Below are 19,729 nucleotides of genomic sequence, written 5' to 3' on the forward strand. Positions count from 1 at the left end.
ACCCCAGGGGAAGAGCAGCTTCAGCAGCAACCACATGCGACCTATGTGCTGGCATGAGGACTCACTGCATTGGTGCCACTGGGACCCCTCCTCGGCATGCGACGCAGTCCCTCCTGTCTCCATTACCCCTTAAAACCCTCCTGTCACATTCCCTCTGGGAGACACTGCTTTGGAGAATAATCCCAGTGCCCCTCTTCCTTGTGCCAAGTAATAAAACTCCTATTGATCACACACCTGCGTTCTCAAGGAGCGTGGTTTGTTATTCATCGGACCAACAAACCCTGATTTTGGGGGGGTAACATTTCCAGAATCAAAAATAAGCAATTTCTTTTTTTTTTTTTTTTTTTTTTTGACAGGGTCTCCCTCTGTCACCCAGGCTGGAGTGTAGTGGCATGATCTTGGCTCACTGCAGCTTTAATCTCCCAGGTTCAAGCGATTCTCCCACCTCAGCCTCCCAAGTAGCTGGGACCACAAGCACACACCACCACGCCTGGCTAATTTTTTGCATTTTTTGTAGAGAGTGTGTTTCTCCATGTTGCCCAGACTGGTCTCGAACTCCTGAGCTCAGGAGATCCACCTGCCTCAGCCTCCCAAAATGCTGGGATTACAGGCGTGAGCCACCATGTAAGCAAAAAATAAGCAACTTCATGTGTGAATAGTCCTCCACTAAGCAGGACTGAACACATGAAAATGAGGTTTCATTTGTTCAAATCAAGGAAAATATAGACAGAGCTTAGCAGGGGGGACAGTGCTGACAAGGGGACTTGATTCTTCAGTGGCACATGGAGAGAATGGCTTAAGACTTGATTGAACCCATTTAACTCTTGTCCTACTGGTGGCCCAAGTTATACCAAGGCGCTGACAAGGTGAGCCAGCAGCCCCTCTTGTAAAGCAATGTGACCAATAAGCTGGGTTGAGAGCCTGGGAAGCCAGGAGATGCCTTTCACAGGTACCAAATGACTCTCCATTGTTTTGCATAGAGAAAGTGACATGGAGCCTGAGGCCACTGACACTTCTCCCCCACCACCATGTTTGCTATTCACAGTGGCTCCCAAAGAGCTGCTCTCACCACGGGGCTGAGGGAGGCTAGACAAGATCACTGCAATTTTTCTAGAACTTTGATGATACCTGTCTCCCAAGAGGGTAAGCCTTGCCCTTGCTGGGCTTCTGTTTCCTCATCCATTAAACTGGGAAGAATGAATTAGATATTTTCAAAGGGCCTCTCTAAATTTATTCTGAGGGTGGCAGTTAAGAATTAAAGGAGGCTGAGAGGAGAGAAGTAAAATTTGAACAGTGGAGCCTGAGGAAGCTGAATGATGTGTAAAATTTTTTTAATAATAATTTTTTTTAACTTCCAGGGTACATGTGCAGGATGTGCAGGTTTGTTACACAGGCAAACGTGTGCCATGGTGCTTTGCTGCACAAACCAACTCGTCACCTAGGTATTAAGCCCAGTACGCATTAGCTCTTTTCCCTAATGCTCTCCTCCCACCATCCTCCTCCAAAACATCCCAGGGAGTGTTGTTTCCCTCCCTGTGTCCAGGTGTTCTCGTTGTTCAGCTCCCACTTATGAGTGAGAATATGCAGTGCTTGGTTTTCTGTTCCTGTGTTAGTTTGCTAAAAATAATGGCTTCCAGCTTCATCCATGTCCCTGCAAAGGACATGATCTCATTCCTTTTTATGCCTGCATAGTATTCCGTGTTGTATATGTACCACATTTTCTTTATCCGGTCTATCATGCGCATTTGGGTTGATTCCATGTCTTTGCTATTGTGAATAGTGCTGCAATGAACATACATGTGTATGTATCTTTAAAATAGAATGACTTATATTCCTTTGGGTACATATCCAGTAATGGAATTGCTGGGTCAAATGGTATTTCCAGTTCTAAATTTCTAAGGAATCACCATACTGTCTTCCACAGTGGTTGAACTAATTTACATTCCCACCAACAGTGTGAAGGTGTTCCTATTTCTATGCAACTTCACCAGCATCTGTTGTTTCTTGCACTTTTTTTTTTGAGACAGAGTCTCACTCTGTCACCCAGGCTGTAGTGCAGTGGCCACTTCTCAGCTCACTGCAACCTCTGCCTCCCAGGTTCAAGCAATTCTCCTGCCTCAGCCTCTTGAGTAGCTGGGATTATAGGCACCTGCCACCACACGTGGCTAATTTTTGTATTTTTAACTAGAAATGGAGTTTCACCATGTTGGCCAGGCCAGTCTCGAACTCTTGACCTCAGGTGATCCACCCGCCTCAGTCTCCCAAAGTGCTGGGATTACAGGCTTGAGCCACAGTACCCAGCCTTGTTTCTTGACTTTTTAATCATCACCATTCTGACTGGCATGAGACGGTATCTCACTGTGGTTTTGATTTGCATTTCTCTAATGATCAGTGACGCTGAGCTATTTTTCATGTGTTGTTGACCACATATATGCCTTTTTTTGAGAAGTGTCTGTTCATATCCTTTAAATTCGCTGGGTGTGGTGGCTCACACCTGTAGTCCCAACTACTCAGGAGGCTGAGGGGCAATTTGACGGCAAATTACTCAAGGATTGCCTGAGCCCAGGAGGTCAAAGCTGCAGACAGCCATGACTGCACCACTGCACTCCAGCCTGAGCTGGACCAAGTGAAACCCCATCTCAAAAACAAAACATAACACAAACAAACAAAAGCTAATTATTAGTCTGAACCCAACAAACTCTATATTCTAGTTCCTGGTTTCTCTGAATTCCGTCGCTATTCCTCGGTAGTTAAAACAGTAGAAACTTAGTACTTCCCCCTCACCATCCATGACCATCACCCATTTACTTCCTAAAGAGAATGAACATAAAGTGCTTAATCTAACTCTTAATTGCTAGATACACAAAAAGTCAAGCGTTGTGTGGAGCTCTTTCAGCTTAATGCACGAACCAATTAACTTTTCTAAAGCGTCTTGTTTTTCCAGAAGAAAACCCAAACCTATTACTATATTACAGAAGTTGAGTTTCTAGAATGAAATTCAGATTTTGCATCTGCCACAGGCTCACTGCTCCATCTATTGGGCGTAGAGAAATTAAGTGAGAAACCAACATGTAATGTAGAGATGATCACAACAGAAGGCTCTTAAAATTGATAACAAGACATTTCTACAAATAGATACAGTTAGAAAATTGATGTATGAAAATCTATTTAGGGGACAGGGATGGCTAAGAATTTTTAAATATAAAATCTTGAGTATCCATCTACAAGATCAAGTATTTCTGATAAAACAGACATTTGGATGTGTTTTGTAAATTCTTGAATGGAGAAAGCATAATAACAGGATATATTAAACTAGGTTCTGGTAGGGTAACACCTAGGCATACATTCATAGGAGACCAAAGATAGGAAAAAAAAGGTATAGTATAAATAAGCCAGGGACAGAGCAAGGGGAAGAGGGTACATATCTGATATACAGGGATGTGGCTGCATATAGTCAGCAACCTTCCCAGGAAGAGGAAATGGCAGGTGTTTCTTGGATCCAAGTAGGAAATGAGACCTGCAGAGCAGAAGAGAGAGGCTGAGGGTAACATTTCTCACAGAGCCTGGGGAAGTCAGCTGAGCTAGCTGGAACACAAGCCCTGAAAGGCTGGTGGAAGGCTTAAGGTCCAAAGGAGGCCAAGGCACTAACTTAAATCTGTCCAGACAAAGTGATCGTCCTGTAGTACATCATTTGTACATGCTTTTGAGCCTGATTTTTTCATGTCATTTTATGCATTTTGTGCATAGGGAGAGATTTACCTAAAGCAAAATTATCAGTGAGCTTGGCTCTTGGGAGAAGATAGTAAGATTCATTCTGTGTATGACAAGTTGAGAGTTTGGTGAAGCTGACATGGTTTCTCTGAGATACAGCTGAGCCTCTAGGGCAACTTAATGATGCTTGCTCTGTCCACCAGTCACAGAGACAGAGTGATGGACTTAAGTGATGGACAAGGTACGTACAAACACAAGTAGTGAGGTGTGGATATATATGCATACATATTTGTTAGTTAAGAACCATTTTAGGCCAGGTGCAGTGGCTCATGCCTATAATTCCAGCACTTTGGGTGGCTGAGGCGGGCAGATCACTTGAGGTCAGGAGTTCGAGACCAGCCTGGCCAACATGGTGAAACCCCATTTCTACTAAAAATACAAAAAAATTAGCCAGACGCGGTGGTGTGTGCCTGTAATCCCAGCTACTCAGGAGGCTGAGGCAGGAGAATTGCTTGAACCCAGGAAGCAGAGGTTGCAGTGAGCTGAGATCGCCCCACTGCACTCCAGTCTGGGCAACAGAGCAAGATACTGTCTCAAAAAAAAAAAAAAAAAAAAGAACCATTTCAGAACAAGAATTCTAGTAACCTCAACTAGATAAGTTTGAATTTATGAAATCAATATCACTGCCATTACTTTTGGTCAAACAGAAAAACAATCAAAAGTTTATATATATTTTTAAAACTATATAACTTAAGACACTTAAAATATTTGGTTTCAGGACCACTGCAGTCTATTTATCATACCAATCTATTTTTAAATGGCCATATGCATAGTTTTAACCAAAGTTATATTCTATAAGGATTCATGTGGTAGATCAAAGTGGTGAGTAAATGGACTAGAAATATTTTTCCCATGTAAGTAGGTGTATCTGGAATTATTTTTATATTGTGAATCCACGTAAATTGTAGGTTCAGCAAATCTATAAGTTGCAGATATGGAAACGGATCTGGTGGAAGTGGTAGAAGGTGCACACATAAGGCAGGAAGTAGCCAACAGCGTGCTTCTAACAAAAGAGAAATCCAAAAATTAAAGTTGTGTTTAAGTGATTTCACCATATTCCTTATTATTATTGGCACAAGAATTACTCCCCCTCGTGAACGCTACAGGCAAAACAGCTGGGTAGGAAGACAGCAGTATTAGCAATAAAACTACATCTTGCCTCTGCCTTAAGCTGGTATCACCGGGCTATTTCCACTCCTGTGCAGCTGGGGGACCTCTGTGGCAGGGTATATCCAGAGGAAGCCAGCCTAACTTTATACACCTGCTACCCTTCCCCTCAACCCTCTCAAAGCTTTATGTAAAACTCAGGGTGACTTAATTATTAAGGAGCAGAGCCAATTCTTTGGCCTAGGCCATCAGGAATGAAAAAGCAAGTGGAAGTACATCAGATTTCTGGTTTAGTTTTAAAACCAAGTGGTGAAGGTAACAAATTCCCCCACTCAATGACCCCCCGCATCGGGTGACAGCAACACAGGGTCTTCCACAAAAGCATCTTCATTTGCTAGCATCTAGATTCAACTCTGGGAGTCAAAATTCATTTTCTTTTCCTATTTAAGATGATGTGACTAGGGGTCATAACTGCTTGGACGTCTAGCTAGTGAAGTTTTAGGAAGAAGAGAATTTAAATTGTGAAGTCAATGAGAACTATTGACTATAAGATTCCCGTTCCAAATCTTTTTCTTTACTAGTTATGACCAGATTCAATACTGAGCTCACTGTCTCTTCTATTCTATACCTTATAAATCTTAGATACCATTGGAGCTGGAGCTGTAGAATTAGAGGATGGTGGTTACAGAAGAATTGGATATTACAGTTGCTCAACTGACGGCCCGTGACAACACCTTTCCGTGAAGACCCTATTTGGCAAGGTATTTCTTTTTCGTTTGTTTGTTTGTTTTTGAGACGGAGTCTCGCTCTGTCACCAAGCAGGCTGGAGTGCAGTGACGCAATCTCAGCTCACTGAAACCTCCGACTCCCTGGTTCAAGAGATTCGCCTTGGCAGGATATTTCTGTAACCATCTGCAGCTAGTATTCGAGTATGAACATGACAGTATCAAGTTGTAACAGGACAGCTTTCTCCACATTCTTTGTGTTCCTTAACAACCCTACAAGGCAGAAAGTGCTGTTTCCACTTTTAAAAGGAGGAACACCAAGGCGGGTCAAATAGTTTGTCCAACCTCCTTCACCCCTGGCTATCGTCACAATGTGATCTATTTAAATTGACTGAATCAAATCTACATCAAGAGCATGTTCTCTGAGACAACATACAAATAGTCTAGCCCTTTGGAGCTCACTATCCTATTGTCTGTTCTAAAATAGAATCAAGGCCAGGCACAGTGGCTTATGCCTGTAATCCCAGAACTTTGGGAAGCCAAGGCAGGCAGATCACTTTTGAGGTCAGGAGTTCAAGACCAGCCTGGCCAACATGGTGAAACCCCGTCACTACTGAAAATACAAAAATTAGCCGGGTGTGATGGCACATGCCTGTAATCCCAGCTGCTCTGGAGGCTGAGGCAGGAGAATCACTTGAACTCAGGAGGTGGAGGTTGTGGTGAGCAAAGACTGCACCACTGCACTCCAGCCTGGGCCAAAGAGTGAGACTCCTCTGTCTCAACAAATTAATTAATTAATTTAATTAAATAGAATCAGAGAGCACATGAATTTTCTGGAGTCCTCATAGTCTATATCTGTTGCCGATAGTTAGATATTTCATCTTGTTCAGTTTAAAGAACCCACAGTATTAACAAGGTAATAATTTATAGGATGAAAACTTGAGGAATATTGCAGAATTAGATATTAATAAAAATAAGTCATGCGTGGTGATGAATAAATTACTCCAGCCCATGTTACCAGATGCATCCACACAGTCAGCAGGACCATCATAAACTTGCCCCATGGAAATGCATGTCTGAGCATCCTTACAGGATGTGACGGTGCCAAGCAGACAACGGCTCCAGTGCATGTGTTTGCATCAGCCTCGTAGGACTCCCTGGGACATCTAAGAATCTGTCCTTCAGGGTCTGGGATACAAATATGGCCACATCCTCCATGGTCTTTTGAGCACCTGTTACTACCTGTGGAATATTCCCACCACCTCCCTGAAAAGCATACTGAGTTATTAGGTTTCTTAAAGGTCTTCTGCAAACTTCTTGCAAATACATTATCAGAGTTACGGGACCCAAATGTTTTCCCCAAATTAGATTGCTCTTCAATTTAATTCCTTTTACTCAACTAGATACTGAATGACTGGAGATTCTTTCTTCATGGATAAGGATGGTTTTAGAAGCCTAGGAGTTCAGATGTTGGATGGCTTAAGAAAAACTGAGGGGAACTCCGACTCATTCAGGGCCGCATTGTGAGTTCTCTTTGCCCCTCAAGTTATACCTGGTAAAACACTTAATTGTGATAAAACAAACACGCACAGATTCAGTATTCTGACATGCGATGGCTTTCATCCACATTAATTTGTCTAGGGACAGTTAGTATGATCATAGTAAACACTCAGGAAATTCATACCATGCACTCAAAGCTGAGTCAATGTGCCTGGACAGAAGCCTGAGAAGAGAAGACGGTGGCAGACCTGGCCTGTGGCAGGACTGGGAGGATCACTCTTTATCTGAGCCATCCTGACAGGTGCATGTGCCATCATGGAGGTGCTCCCAAGAAACACGTTCCTCCCCGTTCCCACAGGGAACAGAGGATGGATGCAAAGCACATGTGACGGAGGAGGAGCGGGAGGAGCAGGAGCGGTGGTTGGGGCTGCTCCTTCAACCCCGGGATCCAAAGCAAACAGCTGCTTCAGCAAGTCAGTCCAGTAGGTTCCAGCAATGGGCACGTGCCCCTACTGTCCCCCTCCTTCAGAAAATCACGTCATGGCTGCGTACATACATTTTTCTATCTCACAGGAAGAAAATGTGCAACTGACCCAAAGCCTGGATCCTTAGGTTAAGTGTGGTACGTTAGCCTATCATCAACTCACAGTGAATTTGGGCAAGGAGTTTTTTCCTTCCCAGCCTACTAACTTTAGCCTTTGGGAAATTTCCAGAACATAGACAACTTAGAGAGAAGGCCTGAAGAATTGTGGGTTGGGACCACTGCCAGTGCAAACATAAAGATGCCCAGGATTTTATCCTAGAAAAACACACTGAAAAGAGACAGGTAAAGTGGATCTCAAAGAATAACCCCACAGAGGAAGGCTAGCTGGCCACCTCCTGGTTGTCTGCCAAGATGATCATTTTCTTTATATATGGCTCTTTCAACACCGAGAAGGCTGCTGCATCCTCTTGTTCCACAGCACAAGAGCGGCTTTGTCCATAGTCACCAGGTAGGACTCGTAGGCTCCTCTAATCCCGTTGCTCCAGGATTTGTTTAAAGAGTGTGTTTTATTTCTATTTCTTAGAAGACTCAGACTACCTGGGCGCAGTGGCTCACGCCTGTAATCTCAACATTTTGGGAGGCCGAGGTGGGCAGATCACAAAGTCAAGAGATTGAGACCATCCTGGCCAACATGGTGAAACCCCGTCTCTACTAAAAATACAAAAATTAGCTGGGCATGGTGGTGGGTGCCTATAGTCCCAGCTACTCAGGAGGCTGAGGCAGGAGAATCACTTGAACCCAGGAAGCGGAGGTTGCAGTGAGCCGAGATCACGCCACTGCACTCCAGCATGGGCGATAGAGTGAGACTCTGTCTCAAAAAAAAGAAAAAAAGAGAAGACTCAGACTTTGCAACCCTAAGAGTCAAGTTCTTATTAACTAATACTGAACAAGTCACCTATGATGGGAGAAAGCATGGGTCCCATTTAATTGTGTCTTTTGTGTGCATATGGTGGAAATGCCATGTCAAGGTTTGCTACTGCACATTCCTTCCCAATTGTATGTTTAATGTTACATTGGGAGCTTGAAATCTGGCATCGTGGGAGTATTTACACCCTGATAATTGGCAAACACTACAAACGGGGATTTCATTTTTTTTTTTTTTTTCATTTTGATTTCTAGACCAGGAAATGGCAAACAATGGCCCTTGAGCCAAACTCAGCCTAATGCCTGTTTTTGTAAAGTTTTAGCAGAGTAAAGCTATGGCCATTCACTCACATGTTATCAATGGCTAATTCTGTGAGACAATGGCAGAGAATCCACCAAGCCTAAAATATTTACTATCTGACCTTTTGGAGAAAAAGTTGGCCAATCCCTAGTCTAGACTTAAAGGAAGTGGTGAAGTATTAATGAGGCAGACTAAATATATGTGTATTGTGTCTATAACCATTAAATTTTAAATACCATAAAAAATTGAGGAAATATTGCCATAGTATTTGAAATCTATTATCCAGTTCAGCAAAGAAGTCATTTATGTCACTGATGGACTAATTCCCACAAGTCTTCATTGCTTCACTTTCATCTCACTTGTTTATGGAAATAAAATCATCAAAAAACATTCATGTCAAGAACACTCACGCACTGACTTCTTTGCCTACTCAGATAGTAATCAAGCACTTATTCATCGCTTTTGTTAAATCTTGAATTGTAACCATAGATTGGCTTCTGATCTAAGAATTCCAAATAAAAAAGCAGTCTGTGAAAATCAGTTAGCTATATGAAATTTGTAATAACAAATATCATGGCCAGGTGTAGTGGCTCACACCTGTAAACCCAGTACTTTGGGAGGTTGAGGCAGGACGATTGCTTGAGCTTAGGATGTGGAGGTCAGACTGGGCAATACAGTGAGGCCTCATCTCCACAAAAAATTAAAAAATTAGCCAGGCATGGTTGCCTATGCCTGTGGTCCCAGCTACTCGGGAGGCTAAGGTGGGAGGATTGCTTGAGCCCAGGAGGTCAAGGCTGCAGTGAGCTATGATTGTGCCACTGCACTCTAGCCTGGGCAACAGACTCAGACCCTGTCTCAAAAAGAAAACAAAACAGGCCAGGCATGGTGGCTCATGCCCATAATCCCAGCACTTTGGGAGGCCAAGGCCGGCAGATCACCTGAGGCCAGGAGTTCGAGACCAGCCTGCCCAACATGGTGAAACCCCATCTCTACAAAAATACAAAAATTAGCTGGGCATGGTGGCGTGTGTCTGTAATCCCAGCTACTCAGGAGACTGAGGCAGGAGAATCGCTTGAATTTGGGAGGTGGAGGTTGCAGTGAGTTGAGATTGCGCCATTGCACTCCAGCCTGGGCGACACGAGTGAAACTCCATCTCAAAAAAAAAAAAAAAAGAAAAAAGAAAGAAAGAAAACAAAACAAAACAAAACAAAAAGCAAAGAAAAGAATATTGTGTATTTTCTTATTTGTACATTGTGTTACATATCCTTTATACAGTACATTTAATTATAAACAGATGTAGGTATATATGTGCACATATTTTTTTCCCAGAGAGCTGATTGTTAAACATTTCCCAGCACATCAATAGGTATTATAGTAAGAACTCAAATATTAACTACCAGGGATGTTGACAAACAGGCAAAGCATGAAGGTGGGGCTGGAGTAGCAGAATGAGGACGCTGATACCCCCAGGGCTTGACATGCTGTAAAATTCTTCCTACATACTGGGTGTTAGAGTGGGAGAATTTCTTTACTATTTCCTCGCACTTGCATATGGAGGAACTTCCATAAAATTACATTTCTGTATACTCCCACATCCATGAAGTTACTCCTACCCAGGAAAGGAGAAGTGACTTAGAAATTATTGGAAATTGTTAAGATGAGGCTGGCCATATTTGGTTTGACCCCTTTGTTGGGCTCTGCCACTTGCAGAGAACATGCACCTTCCTCTGGAGTTATAAATTTAGCCTTGGCACTGCACAGATTCAAGGTTGAAAGCTCAGGGTCACAGAATGTTCCTTGAGCAATGCTACACTGGTTCTTAAAGGCATGCACTCTAGTTCTGAAACAGAATTTTGGAAGCCTCCCATTTTTCACTAGAAATTTCGTCTGTATTTTCTAGCATCAATTTTCAATATGAATAACATGCTCAAGAAAAAACAACACTGACACTGGCACACTCAATGTAAAGATGAGCTGAAAACTATATGCTGATGGCTTGTCAGAAACCCTGCCATCTATAAACAGGCCTGGATAACAGACAGCACAACTTTTCTGCATTTTCTAATTTCACATACTACAGTGAGGGAAATAGGACAAAAGGAATAATGGCCAGAGATGTGCTAAGGTGTTTCCAACATACAGAGGGCCATTAGGAAGGAGGAGGACCTTAACAGAAACATAACCGAGGAATCCAAGAGAATGTGACCTCAGTTTTAGACAATAGTTATTATAGAAGTCTCAAATCAAAATTATATATACATTTATGCTTCAGGACAGGTGAGTCACAGAAGAAGATCGTCCGGATAAATACATATGCTTCTTAGACTATGGTTATGTGGCTTGAAGAAGGTAAGGCTCTTCCTACCAAGAAACATACTTGGATAGAGGAGAATAGAGTTCAACTTCCCAAGGACAAACACATTTAAGACTTCATCCACCTAGAAGTATACACATGCTTCTCTCAAGATCATATGCAATCAACCTTGGCCTTGAATTTAAAGATATGAGAATCTCACAGGTGCCTGTTTGTTGATCCAAGACATCAAGCTTTCAATCTGCTGCTATAAGAATTTTAACATTATCAGCTGTACTAGAAGTAGTGACACATTACTTTGAAGCTTTACTTCACACTTTTTCCTTTAACTAAAGGTGTTTTCCCATCTCCTATCTCAAAATCTACCTATCCCTGAAGTCTGGACTGTGTGTGCAGAAGAAAGCTAGTTGATCTCCTTAGTTCCCCCTCCTTCCTCTGAACCTCAACATACTATAACTCATCGTCGGAACTTTACTGCCTTACTTGGTTTCAGAGTCAGCTCCTCTCTCACCTCAACAGAAGTCCTATCCATGCTTCATACACAGTAGCTGAATGTAATTAAGTGTCCCAGTGGTAAAGAAACACAGGAGAAGGTGAGATTATATTGACTGGGTCTCTGGAGCACCTAGTTCTATAGTTTATAGATGACGTTATTTTAAAGACATTTAATAGCAACTGACCCTCAAACAGAACAAGGAATGTTACAATAGCAGCTTCCTTATGGAAAAAATAAAGTCGTTTCTATACTAGACTTTCACATGAATCATCTATATCACTTTTATCTATTACTGCTAAGAATAGAGCAGGAGCCAGGCTTTGCCTCCAGTATTGAAACTTACTTGTAACTGGACAGTTGTTGCCATCGTAGAGCTGGTGACCTTGAATACAGCCACAGGAGTAACAGCCTGGGGTATCATGACATAGTCGGTTGCTAGGACCACATGCCAGAGAGCACTCGTCTACATGTGATGACAGAGATCCCTAAGTTAGAGAGGACCCAGGAACAATCTTTTCAGTATTTTTGTTCTCCGGAGCCACTTCCCAGATGCTCACTGAATATGTACTATGTGGAAGTCACTGAGCCAGGGGCCAGAATAGACAGTCTCTTTCTCTATAGAGTTCCCACTCACATGAATATAATTTAACAGACACATCAGTATAGGAACCCCAGACGTTTGACTGGTACAGAATATTGATTTATGTTACTTTAGCAACATTTATTGGGATGCCACATGTCAAGCTGGCCAGAGTGTAACTCAGAATGACAAATGTTACTGCCTGGACTTCACTACTGGTGTCATGGGACAACCTGTCCAAGGTGATGGAAACAACTTAAGCTTCCCAGGTATAACTGGTGACATTTAGATCAAGTATTATCATTTCTCAAAGCTCGACGGCAGGGACCCTTTAGAATATGAGTCACAGGACCAGGAATGATTTATTTTGGTGTTTGTTGTTTGTTTGGCAGAAAGAAGTGTGGTTCCTTGGGGCATTGCCAGAAAAACATCATTTCTCCAAAACCATGGGGTTCTAGAATAGAATGATGCCTTCCCATCCCAGGAGAATAATCAATGTATGGCTACAAGTCAAGTTCAGTGGCCAGTCAAGTCCTGCAGTGGGCCCGGAATGCTGCAGGATGCCTGCGGAAAGATGCCGCAGGAGCCTGGGCGTATGTATAATACAAAACCCAGACCTCTCCAGGGTCAGGACCAGAAACTGACTTCAGACTCCTAATAAAGAATGAATAAATAAGTTGTTTTATCCAAAATAGGCTTAATAATTATTCATAATATGACAAAAACTTATTGATGAATTCTCAATATAAAATCATCATTGACTGTAACTCTCATGTTATTAAACCAGGGCCTTTTCTCTTGTATCCTTCTGATATGGTTTGGCTGTGTTCCCACCCAAATCTCATCTTGAATTGTAGCTCCCATAATTCCCATGTGTCATGAGAGGGACCCTGTGGGAGGTAACTGAATTATGGGGGCAGGTCTTTCCCGTGCTGTTCTGGAGATAGTGAATAAGACATGAGTTCTGTTGGTTTTAAAAAGGGGATTTCCCCTGCACATGCTCTCTTGCCTGCCACCATGTAAAATGTGACTTTGCTCATTTGCCTTCTGCCGTGATTGTGAGGCCTCCCCAGCCATGTGGAACTGTGAGTCCATTAAACCTCTTTTACTTTACAAATTACCCAGTCTTGGGTATGTCTTTATTAGCAGCGTGAGAACAGACTAATACACCTTCCCACCTAAATAGGTAAGGCTGCAGGTAGAGCCCATGTAGACAGAGGGAACTATTGATTAAGGGTAACTGATATTAAGGCTCAGGGTGGCAAGACTGATCTACCCAACAGGCCAAAGCATCAAGACAATAAATCCTTTAACCTCCTAATCACATTTTAACCTAAAATACCATCCTGTATTTTTATGGACAAGTGCTACAATAGCAGCCATAACCTTTACACATTATTAATGAATGGTGAAGATATATGAGATTTATTTCAACCATTCTGGCACAAGAATCCCATTTTATAAAGAGGAGAAATGAGACTTGAAGACTTGGAGAAGCTCAGCTAGCAGAAACACGAAAGGATAAACATACAGTGGGTTCTAATTTCAGAATCTGTTCTGATGCCAAGGTGTGTACCTCAGACATGGCCATGAAGTAACAAACATCTATTTTTTTCCATGACAGAAACCCTTCAATACCATAAGAGAAATATGTTAAATTTAATGTTTTCTCATTAGGCTACAGTTGACCAGCAGTTCCCACAAAAGAGGATGATAACAGGCATTGGTGAGGATGTGGAGACACTGAAACACTTAATTACTGCTGGTGAGACTGTCAATGGTACAAGCACTACAGAAAACAGTTTGGCGGTTCCTCAAAAAGTTAAACACAGAATTACCATATGACTTAGCAGTTCCACTTCTGGTTTATATCTAGAGAATTGAAAGCAGAAATTCAAACAGATCATTGAACACCAATGTTCAAGTATCTTGGTAAAGGGATCATGTCTTAGTTGTAGTTAGTTGTACTTGTACTAAATACTTAGTGGTACTTAGTGTAGTACCACTAAGTACTTAGTACTTACTACTTACTAAGTTGTACTTAGTATAGTTACTCATTTGATTTTAAAAGTCTGGCTTATAAAAAACCAGTACTTAGTTCTTACTAAGTTGTACTTAGTATAGATAGTCATTTGATTTTAAAAGTCTGGCTTATAAAAACCATTAAAAATAAAATACTGAGGCAATATTAGTTTTTAATGGATAGCTAACAACTTTGCTGTCTACTCACATTCTATCTGTACCTCACATGACTTGAAGAAAACTATTAAACTGAGAGTAGTCGATGTCAGTAACTAACATGGGAGCTCAGGCTCAGTCAACAGGCTACTTGGGTTGAAGTTTCAGTTGGATCACTTACTAGAAGCGCGACCTTGGGAGAGTTCCTTCCTCTCTCTGGACTTCAGTTTTCTTGTTCATAAAATGCGGGTAGTAAATAAGTGACGCTACGAAGGTTCAGGAATTAAGTGAGCACAAAACCGCTCCGCACAATACCCACCACATAAATGCTCATAAACTAGTAACTCTTTTGCTCCCTCTTCCCACAGATTCTCCCAGAAGGATCACAAGGTTGCAGTCAGCCCTCAAAGACTCACATCAGGTGAGTGACAACTTGAACAATGATGATTCTTGGTCCAGGGACCAAAAGTGCATGTGGATTCTACACATTATCTGCAGATGAGTCTCAAACCTTACTTTCCAAATTTAAGGAAATGCTTGCTGTGAATACATAAGCAATTTATTTATGAATGTATTTATTTTCATATTAAATTCCTGGTAGCTTTCTCATAGTCTGTCACTATACCAAGTACAATGACTACGTGCCGTTCTAAAACAGACATCATAAAGGTGTCTTCACACTAGAAGGTGTTAGAAATCACTGCTTGGTAGAAGCAAGAAAGGTAAGTAACATTGACTCCTGTTTCAGAACTGGTGTGGGCAGATCAGCTTCAACAGAGAGGCTGGACCCGGTTTGGCAAAAATTCTGAAGCAAAATCGGAGGGTTAGAATCCTTCCTGAAAGAGATGCAACTCAGATGCTAAGTGGCGCCCCCTCCAAACTGGTTCACAGTATCTTGACCAAGAAAGAGTCTGCATAAGTTAAAATGGCTTAAAATCGACTTTCCAATCATAGGGGGCTAACCAGGAGCACCTGCCTGGCCAGGTGGTTTAACAAGTGCTGGGCGCCGGGCTATATCTCCAGGCACCGCCTTCACCCTTCGGGAACTGTGCGTGTCTGGGTCACCCTGGAACCGGCACTCATCTCACCCCTGCTTTGGGGTCTGCCTACACCTGAACGGTGTCAATAAGTGCCTCCAGAAAGTGTCTTCCTAAATGCACCTCAAGCCCCCAACACCCTTTCCTCTGGGCTGTTTCTGGAGTTGGGCACCTGTCTGCGAGGTCCGGCGTCTCCAAGAGGCTAAACCTGCTGCCTGTAAAACCCGGGGCGCGGGGCCCGACCCACCGAGATCTAGGCGAAAGCGAATCCCACTCGGCCCCGACGTTAGAAGGAAGAGCCCAGGTGGGAGGGTGCGGCCCGCTCTCAGGTTTGGAGCGGACCTCTTCTCCCACCTGTTTGAGGGTGCAAAAACGGAAAGACACTGAATTTGTCCGCTGAGCCCACCTCCCCTCCCAGCCACTGGGAGGTCTGTAAAGGGCCGAGAAGCAGGTGGTCCGAGCCCGGGGCATGGACGGCGGCCCCTGCAGAAGGCCCAGCCACGCCCTGCTAGATCCTGGACAACCCGACGCTGCAGCATGGGACAGGACACACCCCGCGAGGGAGCCCCAGCCGCCGGCCCCTGCCGCGCCCCTCGGCGACACGCGACGCCTGCGCCCTGCAGAGCAGTCCTCTCTCTGGGCGCCCTTGGCAGCCCGACCCACTCACCTGACCTGGACACCGCGACGCTACCAGCGTGGCCAATCCCGGCGAAAGGAGGAGGACGGGTGTCCAGCGCCCCAGACCCGGGAGGGGTCGGGCGTGGAAGACCTGGCGCTGGATACCGGCGTCTCCGGGCTGCAGCTGCGCTCGCTGGGAGTAGCAGAGAGGCGCGCGAGGTGCGGGCTCAGTTTCCCTAGGAGCTCTGGGTAATCTGAAAGTAGTTACGAAAAGAAATTCAAAATGTTTAAAAGATGAATTAAGATGTTCTAACTCATAAGTGGCAGTTGAACAATGAGAACACATGGACACAGGGAGGGGAACATCACCCACCGGGGCCTGTTGGGGGTGAAGGGGAATGGGGAGAGAGAGTATTACGGCAAATACTTAATGCATGCAGGGCTTAAAACCTAGATGACGGATTGATAGGTGCAGCAAATGACCATGACACATGTATACGTATGTAATAAACCTGCATGTTCTGCACATGTTCCCCAGAACTTAAAAAAAAAAAGATGAATTAAGAGCTGTTGTTATAAAAGGCATAGGGTCACGGGTATGACAGAGGAACTGGCAGGGAACCAACCCTCTCCCTCTAAATAAACACCTAGAAAACTGGTCAACTTCCCATGAAAAAATTGTTTTCAGGGAGATTAATCCCCCAAAGAAAGAAAACAATCACCATGAGTTTCCATCTGGAGGCATTTGCCAAACCTGGCAATAGAGGAGGAACACAGTAGTCTCATATAATTAAGGAGACAGAGATACACAGAGATCAGAATTTGGGCAGCCTGAAGCAGCTGGAACTTGAGAGGCAGAGCACTAAAGAGAAGAGAGCTGGCTGGGCGCGGTGGCTCATGCCTGTAATCCCAGCACTTTGGGAGGCTGAGGCAGGCGGATCACCTCAGGTTAGGAGTTCAAGACCAGCCTGGCCAACATGGAGAAACCCCGTCTCTACTAAAAATACAAAATTAGCCCAGTGTGGTGGCACATGCCTGTAATCCCAGCTACTTGGGAGGCTGAGGCAGGAGAATCGCTTGAACCCAGGAGACAGAGTTTGCGGTGAGCAGAGATCACACCATTGCACTCTAGCATGGGCAACAAGAGCAAAACTCCGTCTCAAAAAAAAGAAAAGAAAAGAAAAGAAAAAAAAGAGCTACATAAAAGAGTTTACAAAATCTTTACAGGAGTTTGTTTGTATCTTTGGCTAAATCCCAAGGTGTGCATGTATAGGGTGAGATTTCACGAGACCAGGGAAAGAATGACTACCGAAGAGTTATCAACAATTCATAGATTTTGACAGGTTTCAGACATCTAAGTTCTAAGCAGTTATTGAACACCTGAGATATTTCACAGGGGCCCAAAAGGCTTCTGGCTCTAAAGTGTTCACCTGTAGTCACAGCTACTTGAAAGGCTGAGGCAGGAAGATGGCTTGAGCCCTGTAGTTCTAGGCTGTAGTGAGCTATGATCATGCCTGGGAATAGTCACTGCACTCCAGCCTCAGCAACATAGACTGTCTCTAAAAAAAAACAAAAAAAAACAAACAAAAAAAATTTTTAGGATCCCCCTCCACCAAGAACTTTTGTTTATGAATATCTACCTAAATCTATCAATACTTACTGTATCCTAAATTAAAGCTAAGAATGGTAAAGAATATTTATTTATTAATTCAATTAAAATAGCAATAATAAACTGATTACATGTTAACATATATAACACATTTTTATGAATAATCACATTTTCCAAAATAAAAAACTAATGACAACAGTAGTATTGTTTTACATTCTGAAAGCCTCTTTAATGACATTAATAGAAGACAGCTGCACTCTCCTGTGCGTTTGCATTCCATCTATTAGTGTGTTGTTTTGGTTCCAGTATACAAAGAAAATCTGGCCTTACACAGATATGCAGTTGGCCGTGGAAAAAGTATTTCAATAGCCCTTTCAGATAATTGCTGATATTCTTCTTTGGTGCTGTTATGGGTTCATTTATGTCCCCTAAAAAGGATATGTTGAAATCCTAACTCCCAGTACCTCAATACATGACCTTATTTGGAAATAGGGTCTTTGCAAATTTAATCAAATTCATAGAATGTGGCCTAATCCAAGATGTCCAATGTCCTTATGAAAAGGGGAAATTTGGGCCGGGCATGTTGGCTTATGGCTATAATCCTAGCACTTTGGGAGGCCGAGGCGGGTGGATCACCTGAGGTTGGGATTTTGAGACCAGCCTGGCCGACATGGAGAAACCCCATCTCTACTAAAAGTACAAAACTTAGCTGGGCGTGCTTGTGCATGCCTGTAATCCCAGGTACTTGGGAGGCTCAGGCAGCAGAGGAACTTGAACCCAGGAGGCGGAGGTTGTGGTGAGCCAAGATCGAGCCATTGCACTCCAGCCTGGCCAATAAGAGTGAAACTCCATCTCAGAAAAAGAAAGAAAAGGGGAAATTTGGACACAGACACATACCTATCTGTGAAGGAAACCAATGTGAGGAGACATAGAGAGAAGGCCATGGAAAGATGGAGGGAGGTCGAGGGCAGGATTATCCATAAGCCAAAGAAGGTGTGGGGCTACCAGGAGCTGTGGTGGCAAAAGGAACATCCTTCCCTAGAGGCTTCCCAGAGAGTCCAGACCCATTGACACCTGGATTTCAAACGTCTAACCTCCAGAACTGTAAGCCAATACATTTCTGTTCTGCCAAGCCATCCAATTTGTGATAGTGTGTTATGTCGGCCCTAGGAAATTTATGTAGATACTAACACCAAAATCCAAGAAGTGGTAATTTTCTAATGATTAGTTGCAATGCATGATCATAGCTCACCATAGCCTAGAACTATAGGGTTCATGCTGTCCTCCGGCCTCAGCCTCTCAAACAGCTGAGACTACAGGCATACACCAATGGGCCCAGGCCTTAATAATTCTTAAGCCTTTATTCTAGAGCCAGTAGGCTTCCGGGAACCTACAAAATATCCCAGGTGTTCAGTAATGGCTCAGAACTCAAACGTCTCTGAAACCTGTTAAGATCCATGAGTTGTTTATCTTATAACTCTTCAGTAGTCATTCTTTGCCTGGCCTCATGAAATCCCACCCTATACATGTACAGCTTGGAATTTAGCTAAGGAAACATATGAACCTCTGAAACCATATAAATGAACATTTAACAAATGTTGCGTGTTCTCATTCATCTATGGGAGCTAAAAAGGCAGATCCCATGAAGATAAAGAGTAGACTAGTGGTTTCCAGAGGCCAGGAAGAGGAGGGGGCATGAAAAGAGGTTGATTAGTGGATACATTAATACAGTTAGATAGAAGTAGTAAGAGCTGGTGTTTAATAGATCGGCAGGGGACTATAGTTAACACTAATCTAGTGTATATTTCAAAACAGCTAGAAGACAGTAATTCAAATGTTCCTAGCATAAAAAAAGATAAGCACTTAAGATGATGGATAACCCAATTACCCTGATTTGATCTTTCACACTATATGAATGTATCAAAATATCACATGTACCCTGAAAATAAGTACATATATTATGTATGAATAAAATAAAAAGCAAATAGCAGGGCCGGGCACAGTGGCTCATGCCTGTAATCCCAGCACTTTGAGACACCAAGGCAGGCAGATCACCTGAGGTTAGGAGTTTGAGACCAGCCTGAC

The sequence above is a fragment of the Homo sapiens genome, chromosome 8, assembly GCF_000001405.40.
Source record: "Homo sapiens chromosome 8, GRCh38.p14 Primary Assembly".
Taxonomy (NCBI): Eukaryota; Metazoa; Chordata; class Mammalia; order Primates; family Hominidae; genus Homo; species Homo sapiens.